This window comes from Homo sapiens, chromosome Y, assembly GCF_000001405.40.
Source record: "Homo sapiens chromosome Y, GRCh38.p14 Primary Assembly".
Taxonomy (NCBI): domain Eukaryota; kingdom Metazoa; phylum Chordata; class Mammalia; order Primates; family Hominidae; genus Homo; species Homo sapiens.
In genome coordinates this window covers 1,144,285-1,154,279 of record NC_000024.10, presented here as the reverse complement: position 1 = coordinate 1,154,279, position 9,995 = coordinate 1,144,285, and the positions used below count along the sequence as shown (strand labels likewise).

The following is a 9,995-nucleotide window of genomic DNA, read 5'->3' as shown; positions in this document are numbered from 1 at the left end:
CCCCAGAACCAAAGTTGTCACGATGTCTCTGTCCATATTAGGGATCCGTGAAAACTCAAAAACAGAATTAGCTACATTCCTCCAGGGTGGTTCCAGACATCAAAGCTTTCAACATGAGGAATTCCTGACTCGGAGACTCCAGCCTCATTCCATGTACGGCCAAATTCCCGCAGGAAAGAAGGTGGTTTATATTATTCTTAAGTAAGGTTTTATTACATCCTGAGGGCAACTGTGATTCAGAGCGGGCTTGCTTTGTAGCAAGGAATATTACAGTGAACGTTAGTGAACAATGAAAGAATCAGATGAACTTTTGCATATAAACTTCTTTTTAAAAATGATGGTCAAAAATACATCATGTAAACTTTACCGTCTTAACCACTTTGAAGTTTATAGTTTTGTGGCATTAATGACATTCACACTGGCCAGCCGCGGTGGCTCACGCCTGTCATCCCAGCACTTTGGGAGGCCGAGGCGGGCGGATCATGAGGTCAGGAGTTCAAGACCAGCCTGGCCAACATGGTGAAACCCCGTCTCTACTAAAATACAAAAATTAGCCGGGCGTGGTGGCGGGCGCCTGTAATCCCAGCTACTCAGGAGACTGAGGCAGGAGAATCGCTTGAACCCGGGAGGCGGAGGTTGCAGTGAGCTGAGATCACGCCATTGCACTCCAGCCTGGGCAACAGAGGGAGACTCTGTCTAAACAATAAAATAAAATAATGAAATAAAAATAAATAAATGAATTAAATACTCTACTTCTCAGTATACATTTATGGATTTATTATTATTATTATTATTATTATTTTAGATCAAGTTTCAGCGATTCTCCTGCCTCAGCCTCCCAAGTAGCTGGGATTACAGGCGCCCACCACCACGCCCGACTAATTTTTGTATTTTTAGTAGAGATGGGGTTTCGCCATGTTGGCCAGGCTGGTCTCGAACTCCCGACCTCAGGCGATCCGCCTGCCTCAGCCTCCCAAAGTGCTGGCATTACAGGCTACAGGCGTGAGCTCCTGCACCCAGTGTCATAGAATCTTAACTTTTTTTTTTTTTAAGTGGAGCGTTGTTCTGTAGCCAAGGCTGGAGTGCAGTGGTGCGATCTTGGCTCACTGCAACCTCCGCCTCCTGCGTCCCGGTTTAAGCAATTCTCCTGCCTCAGTCTCCTGAGTAGCTGGAATTACAGGCACACGCCACCACACCCAGCTAATTTTTGTATTTTTAGTAGAGACGGGGTTTCCCTGTGTTAGCCAGGCTGGTCTCGAACTCCTGACCTCAAGTGATCCACCCTCCTCGGCCCCCCAAAGTGCTGGGATGACAGGCGTGAGCCACCGCGCCCGGCTAATCTTGTATTTTTAGTAGAGATGGGGTTTCCCTATGTTGGCCAGGCTGGTCTCGAACTCCCGACCTCAAGTGATCCACCCTCCTCGGCCCCCCAAAGTGCTGGGATGACAGGCGTGAGCCACCGCGCCCGGCTAATCTTGTATTTTTAGTAGAGACGGGGTTTTCCTATGTTGGCCAGGCTGGTCTCGAACTCCCGACCTCAGGCGATCCACCCTCCTCGGCCTCCCAAAGTGCTGGGATGACAGGCGTGAGCCACTGTGCCCAGCCTGTTTAATTCATGTAAACCTTCATTTCTCATCCTAAATGTCTCTTGTAAAAAAAAATACACTCTCAGCCAGCTGGAGAGATTGAAGACACGCAGAGCAAAAAAAGCCAATGTGGCTTTGGAGGTCGAGGCACAGACTCCTGTGAATCGATTTTGGTCGTGCCTCGATTGGCCAGCTGTGATGGGGAAGCTGTGACCCTCATCATCTCGAGACAGAGGGGTTCCCAGAAGGCAGGCTCTCCTGCCCCAGACTCCAAGGCTGCAAGTTCTGAATCCGGGAAAAGTGGAGGCATTGCCAGGGTGAAATGCACCCTCTCCGTCAGCCCCAGTTGGCACGGCCTCCAGAGGCTGGAGAGAGACCACGGTCTCCCTCCCTCCCTCCTCCCAGCTCCCTCCTTCGTCCTTCCAGGCACAGTGGCCCTTTTAGGACTCACTTTCCCTCACCCCAGCTCCTGGGGGTCTGCGGAGGCCCTGACAAGCCCCAGCTATTGCTGCTGTGTGCACCGAGGCAGGACCAGCCAGGAAAGGTCTTTAGCGGCGACCTGGGCTCATAATTAATGACCTGACCACCAAGGTGAGAAGCCAGGGACGCGCTGGCTAAATAGTTGATTGTTTTGGGGAAAATAAATAAAAGAACTGTTCTGTGGTTACCTCCCCCTCTCCCCCTACTTTTTTTTTTTTTTTTTTAGAAGGAAGGTTGGAAGATGTTAGTGAAAGGGAAGCTTCTGTACCAACCCTGCTAGAAGGACCGTCTGTTAAGTGGGAAATTTGCCCCCCGGGCCTATGGACCCTGTGCAGGAGAAAACCATGATTTCCCAAATGGCATCTGGGTTGCAGACACGGGCTCAGCCCCACCGCAACTGGAAGGCCGGCCTCAATGTGCTCTTTTCCGGGTGCAAAATCCTGACTTCAGAAACGGAGAAAGAGGTGGGTCTTGGTCTCTCTCTCTCTCTCTCCTCTCTCTCTCTTTCTCTCTTTCCCTCTCTCCTCTCTCTCTTCTCTTTCTTTCTCTCTCCTGTGTCTCTCCTCTTTCTCTGTCCTCTCTCTCCCTCCTCTTTCCCTCTTTTCTCTCTCTCCTCTTTCCCTCTTTTCTCTCTCTCCTCTCTCTTTCTCTCTCCTCTTTCTGTGTCCTCTCTTTTTCTCTCTCCTCTCTCTTCTCTCTGTCCTCTCTCCTCTCTGTTTCTCTCTCCTCTCTCTCTCTCCTCTTTCTCTGTCCTCTCTCTCTCTCCTCTCTTTCTCTTTCTATCTTTTCTCTCTCTTCTCTCTCTCTCTCGTCTCTCTTCCGCTTTCTCCTCTCTCTTCCTCTCTCTCCCTGGGACATAAATGGCTACAGGATATTCTGAGTTCCAAAGTATCATCACCCATGGGTAAAACTCTCAGAGTCAGGGAGACATCAGTGGTGAGAGGTCCTCAGCCAGGGGCGATTCTGCACCCGCAGAGGACACTGAGCACTGTCTGGAAATTACCTTTAGTTGTCAGAACTGGGATAGGGGGTGCTCCTGGGGCCCGGTGGGCGAGCCCAGAGATGCTCCTCAGCATCCTACAGGGCACAGGACGGCCCCATCACAGAGTCAGTCATCCAGCCCTAAATGTCAGCAGTGCTGAGGCTCAGACACAAGACACTCCGTCTCTGCATCTGTCTCCCTATTTTTCTTTTTCTTTTCTTTTCTTTCTTTCTTTCTTTCTTTCTCTCTTTCTTTCTTTTTTCTTTCTTTCTTCTTTTTCTCTTTCTTTCTCTTTCTTTTTCTCTTTCTTTCTTTCTTTCTCTTTCTTTCCCTTCCTTCCATCCTTCCTTCCTTTCCTCTCTCTTCTTTCTTTCTCCTTCTTCTTTCTTTCTTTCTCTCTCTCTTTCTTTCCCTTCCTTCCATCCTTCCTTCCTTTCCTTTCTCTCTTTTCTTTCTTTCTTTATTTCTCTCTCTCTTTCTTGCCCTTCCTTCCATCCTTCCTTCCTTTCCTTTCTCTCTCTTTCTTTCTTTTCCTTTCTTTCTCTTTCTTTCTTCCTTTCTTTGATGGAGTTTCACTCTCATCTTCCAGGCTGGAGCGCAATGGCACGATCTCAGCTCACTGCAACCTCCTTCTTCCAGGTTAAAGTGATTCTCCTGCCTCTGTCTCCCAAGTAGCTGGGACTGTAGGTGTGCACCACCATGCCCGAGTAGCTGGGATTGTAGGTGTGCACCACCACGCCCGGCTGATTTTTGTATTTTTAGTAGAGATGGGGTTTCACCATGTTGGCCAGGCTGGTCTCAAACTCCTGACCTCGGGTGATCCGCCCGCCTCAGCCTCCCAAAGTTCTGGGATTGCAGGTGTGAGCCACCACGCCCAGTCCCTGTTTATTTTTCTGTCATTTATTTATCTATCTATCATGTATCTATTTTTTTCTATCTATCTCTATCCATCTATTTTTCTATCTTTGTATCATCTATCTCTATCGATCTATCCATCACCTATCATCTATTTATGTATCTGTCATCTATCTATGTATCTATCTCTATCCATCTATTCCGTATCCATCTATTATCCATTTCTCTATTTTTCTATATTATCTATCTATCTATCTATCTATCTATCATCTCCATCATCTATCTAGCTATCTATCTATCATCTATTTTTTGTATTTTTCTACCTATGCATCCATTTTTCTTTACTTTCTTTTCTTTTTTCTTTTTTTTTTTTTTGAGACAGAGTCTTGCTCCTGCCACCCAGGCTGGAGTGCAGTGGCATGATCTTGGCTCACTAAAACCTCTGCTTCCTGAGTTCAAGTGATTTTCCTGCCTCAGCATCCCAAGTAGCTGGGACTACAGGAACCCGCCACCACACCCAGCTAATTTTTGTATTTTTAGTAGAGATGGGGTTTCACCATGTTGGTCAGGCTGGTATCGAACTCCTGACCTCAGGTGATCCGCCCGCCTCGGCCTCCCAAAGTGCTGGGATGACAGGCGTGAGCCACCGTGCCCGGCCTATGCATCCATTTTTCTATGTATCTATTTATCTATCTGTTTGTTATCTACTATCTCTCTATCTATATTGATACTGACTCCCAACTGCAGATAATTCTGCTCTAAGGTGCCATCGGGCAGTATTTACGGTCATTTTTCATTTTTTGTTGCCCTCACTGGGGAGTGGGTGGTTTTGGAACCTGGTGGGTGCAGCCCAGGGACACTGCTCAACACCCTCCAGTGCCCAGGATGGCCCCACAGCAAAGAATCTTCCAGCCGCAAATGTCAGCAGTGCTGAGGCCAAGAGCCCCTCTCCAGCTTAGTTTGATCTGAGTACATCTCAGCAACTAGCAATCCTGTCTCCGGGTGAAGTTTCTCTCTGTGTGTAAAGGTAGCTTTGCACCCAGTCTTTAAAGAAGTTTGCTTTAGAACTGAATCTACTACTACAAAAAGAATTATTATTATTATTTTTTGGCTCTTCACCACTGTCATTTAAAAGAATGTTCTGGGCTGGGCATGGTGGCTCACAGCTGTCATCCCAGCACATTGGGAGGCCAAGGTGGGTGGATCACTTGAGGTCGGGAGTTCAAGACCAGCCTGGCCAACATGGCAAAACCTTGTCTCTACTAAAAATACAAAAATTAGCTGGTCATGGTGGCAGGTGCCTGTGACCCCAGCTACTCAGGAGGCTGAGGCAGAACAATCACTTGAACCCGGGAGGTGGAGATTGCAGAGAGTCAAGATTGCGCCACTGCACTCCAGCCTGCGGGACAGAGTGAGACTACATATCAAAATAAGTGAGCAAGTAAATAAATAGATAAAATATGGCCGTGCGCAGTGGCTCACACCCATAATCCCAGCACTTTGGGAGGCCGAGGCGGGCGGATCACCTGAGGTCAGGAGTTCAAGACCAGCCTGGCCAACATGGCAAAACCCCGTCTCTACTAAAAATACAAAAATTAGCCGGGCATGGTGGTGGCAGGTGCCTGTAATCGCAGCTACTCGGGAGGCTGAGGCAGGAGAATCGCTTGAACCCGGGAGGCGGAGCTTGCAGTGAGTCGAGATCGCGCCACTGCACTCCAGCCTGGGCGACAGGAGTGAAACTCCGTCTCAGTAAATAAGTAAATAATAAATAATTAAATAAATAAATAAGCTGCAATAAAATAATAAACTAAAAGCACTTTCTGCCCGGCACCACTGCACTGCAGCCTGGACAACAGAGTGAAACTCCGTCTCAAAAAAATATATATATATATAAAAAAAAATAAGTAAATAAATAAAATAAAATAATAAAAATAAAATAAAAGCACGTTCTGCTTCACACCACTATACTCCAGCCTGGACAACAGAGTGAAACTCCATCTCAGATAAATAAATAAATATATAAAATAAATAAATTAATTAAATAAATAAATAAAATACAATAAAATAATAAAAATAAACTAAAAGCACATTCTGCCCGGCACCACTGCACTCCAGCCTGGACAACAGAGCTAAGCTCCATCTCAGAAAAATAAATAAATGTGTAAAATAAATAAATACAATAAATGAAATAAAATAATAAAAATAAACTAAAAGCACGTTCTGCCCCGCCCCGGCTGCCCCACTGGTCATGTGGGCTTCAGAAACCGTCCCCCTGCAGAAGCATCTTCTGTGTCTTTCCGCCCCCATGAAGCCAGTTGCTCAGAAACGCAGCCGCCGCTGCCCACAGGAGGGAGGGAAGAGGAGGAACGGGCTCGACATGAAAGAGAAGGCCCGTTGGGAAAGGCTGTTTTTGCAGCACTGGTGAAGATAAGCCCCTGGTGTTTGAGTTCCGCTGTGAGAAAGCTGACCGGGCTTTGGAACGTGGGAGGAAGTGTGGTGGCAGGTACGCAAACGCTTCACATTGAAGTTCAAGAAGGGAATCTAGACAAAGAAGCCAGGAGGGCCAGTGTGGACGTTGCTGGGCCCCAGGAAACCAGGAGGCGGTTAGCGTCCACCCAGGAATAATAAAAAAGCAGGATCACGTTGCCTCGTAGACCGTGAGGATGAAGGCAGAGACTCGCAGGCCCCAGAGAGCTGGTGAATGGCGTTGTTCAGAGGTGATCCCCCCGGTGAATTCTCTCCTGAAAGCACTGAACAGACGTGAAGTGAGACAGAGGAATGGCATTGAAGGGGCGTACGTAAGAGGAAGAGAAATGCGGAGTCGGGGCAGGTGCAGCCTGCAGTCTTGGGAGACGGGCAGATTTTGCCTCAGCCACGCTCACAAGAAAGGGAAGTCAGGGGAGGATGGAATGGATCCTGGGACAGAGTGAATGGTGGAGGGATAAATAATGTCACTCCCAAAGATGTCCACGTCCTGATCCCCATGTGATAGACAGAATAATGGCCCCAAAGATGTCCACGTCCTGATCCCCATGTGGGAGACAGAATAATGGCCCCAAAGATGTCCACGTCCTAATCCCCATGTGATAGACAGAATAATGGCCCCAAAGATGTCCACGTCCTAATCCCCATGTGGGAGACAGAATAATGGCCCCAAAGATGTCCACGTCCTAATCCCCATGTGATAGACAGAATAATGTCCCCAAAGATGTCCACGTCCTAATCCCCATGTGATAGACAGAATAATGTCCCCAAAGATGTCCACGTCCTAATCCCCATGTGGGAGACAGAATAATGGCCCCAAAGATGTCCACGTCCTAATCCCCATGTGATAGACAGAATAATGTCCCCAAGATGTCCATGTCCTAATCCCCATGTGGGAGACAGAATAATGTCCCCAAAGATGTCCACGTCCTAATCCCCATGTGATAGACAGAATAATGTCCCCAAAGATGTCCACGTCCTAATCCCCATGTGATAGACAGAATAATGTCCCCAAAGATGTCCACGTCCTAATCCCCATGTGATAGACAGAATAATGGCCCCAAAGATGTCCACGTCCTAATCCCCATGTGATAGACAGAATAATGGCCCCAAAGATGTCCACGTCCTAATCCCCATGTGGGAGACAGAATAATGTCCCCAAAGATGTCCACGTCGTAATCCCCATGTGATAGACAGAATAATGTCCCCAAAGATGTCCACGTCCTAATCCCCATGTGATAGACAGAATAATGTCCCCAAAGATGTCCACGTCGTAATCCCCATGTGATAGACAGAATAATGTCCCCAAAGATGTCCACGTCGTAATCCCCATGTGATAGACAGAATAATGTCCCCAAAGATGTCCACGTCCTAATCCCCATGTGATAGACAGAATAATGTCCCCAAAGATGTCCACGTCCTAATCCCCATGTGATAGACAGAATAATGGCCCCAAAGATGTCCACGTCCTAATCCCCATGTGATAGACAGAATAATGTCCCCAAAGATGTCCACGTCCTAATCCCCATGTGGGAGACAGAATAATGTCCCCAAAGATGTCCACGTCCTAATCCCCATGTGATAGACAGAATAATATCCCCAAAGATGTCCACGTCCTAATCCCCATGTGATAGACAGAATAATGTCCCCAAAGATGTCCACGTCCTAATCCCCATGTGGGAGACAGAATAATGTCCCCAAAGATGTCCACGTCCTAATCCCCATGTGATAGACAGAATAATGTCCCCAAAGATGTCCACGTCCTAATCCCCATGTGGGGGACAGAATAATGTCCCCAAAGATGTTCACATCCTGCAGTTAGCCACGTGTGGTGACTCAGGTATGCGGTCCCAGCTATTTGGAGGCTTAGGTGGGAGGACTGCTTGAGCCCAGGAGTTCAAGGCTGCAATGAGCTGTGATTTCACCAGTGCTCTCCAGCCTGGGGGACAGAGTGAGACGTTGTCTCAACAACAACAAAACATAAAACGGGCTCAGTCTGGTCTCAGACTCCTGAACTCCAGTCATCCTCCTGCTTCCCTCTCCCAAAGTGCTGGGATTACGGGCATGAGCCACCAAACCCTGCCAGAAGGAAACTCTTTTTTTTTTTTAAGATGTTTTGCTCTTGTTGCCCAGGCTGGAGTGCAGTGGCGTGATCTCAGCTCACCGCAACCTCCGCCTCCCGGGTTCAAGCGATCCTCCTGTCTCAGCCTCCAGAGTAGCTGGGATTACAGGTGCGCGCCACCACGCCTGGCTAATTTTGCATTTTTAGTAGAGATGGGGTTTCACCATGTTGGTCAGGCTGGTCTCGAACTCCCGACCTGAGGTGATCCACCCGCCTCGGCCTCCCAAAGTGCTGGGATGACAGGCCTGAGCCACCAAACCCTGCCAGAAGGACACTCTTATCAGGCAGAACATTCCAAGGACCCCAGGAAAAACGTCCGCGTTTGCCCGGGTGTCTTGGGCCGTGCTGCGTGGTCTGGGCCACACCAGGTTACTTAAGCTGCCATGTGATCTGCGGCGGGGTTTGGGGGAACATGGATTCACCTTCACCTCTGGAAGGGCTGGATCCTGAAGTCAGCCAAGCAGGAGGTTCCTCCTGTGTAGACCATCCCCCCAGTAAAGACCCTGGAATTCCAGACGTGGATGAACTTATCTACTCGGCAATATCTTGCGTTTGCTGTCACACATCATGGCTGGGAGAAGCTGGGTCTACCCTTCCACTGGGAAGAGACAACAAGAAGCTTGTGCCTGCCTCTCCTATACTCTGCTCCATGTATCTCTTCTCTTGGATAATTTTTTTTTTTTTTTTGACATGGAGTCTCCCTCTGTCTCCCAGGCTGGAGTGCAGTGGTGCAATCTCAGCTGACTGCAACCTCCGCCTCCCGGGTTCACGCCATTCTCCTGCCTCGGCCTCCCTCCTGAGTAGCTGGGATTACAGGTGCCCACCACCACGCCCAGCTCATTTTTGTATCTTGGTAGAGATGGGGTTTCACCATGTTGGCCAGGCTGGTGTCGAACTCCCAACCTCAGGTGATCCGCCTGCATCAGACTCCCAAAGTGCTGGGATGACAGGCATGCACCACCACGCCTGGCTAATTTTTGTATTTTTAGTAGAGACGGGGTTTCTCTGTGTTGGCCAGGCTGGTCTCGAACTCCTGACCTCAGGTCATCCACCTACCTCGGCTTCCCAAAGTGCTGGGATGACAGGCGTGAGCCACGGTGCCTAACGTAATTTATTAATAATTTTATACTATCTCTTCCCTTCTCATTTGCTCAGAAAAATTTGCAATGCTGATGTCATCCGTGTCCTGTTTAGATACACTTTTCCATTACCAATCTTTTATTACCAGGATACCACGAGGCTATAAATAATCTCTCAAGCAGGTATAATCCACCCTAATAAAGACGGGAAGGACGGCCAAGCTATCCTGTGATATTGTATTTCAATTACTTCACTAACCTAATTATCTCTGCTGCTCTGGGCCCAAACAGCCTCCGAGGACTCATTTCCTGTGTGTTGTATATGTTTACGATACTTAAAAATGGAGAAAATTCCTGTCGCTTTAATGAAAAATCCCCTGCGCACCTGTTTGTCTTTGTAGCTGGAG

General features: G+C 48.2%; 2 annotated features.

The window, feature by feature from the left end:
• Positions 1,419-1,918: an enhancer, noted in NCBI's record as "H3K4me1 hESC enhancer chrX:1252515-1253014 (GRCh37/hg19 assembly coordinates)". NCBI's record gives its function as "activates a minimal SCP1, AML or CMV promoter by ChIP-STARR-seq in naive H9 embryonic stem cells {active_cell/tissue: H9 hESC(naive)}" and the evidence as "EXISTENCE:reporter gene assay evidence [ECO:0000049][PMID:30033119]".
• Positions 1,919-2,420: an enhancer, noted in NCBI's record as "H3K4me1 hESC enhancer chrX:1252013-1252514 (GRCh37/hg19 assembly coordinates)". NCBI's record gives its function as "activates a minimal SCP1, AML or CMV promoter by ChIP-STARR-seq in naive H9 embryonic stem cells {active_cell/tissue: H9 hESC(naive)}" and the evidence as "EXISTENCE:reporter gene assay evidence [ECO:0000049][PMID:30033119]".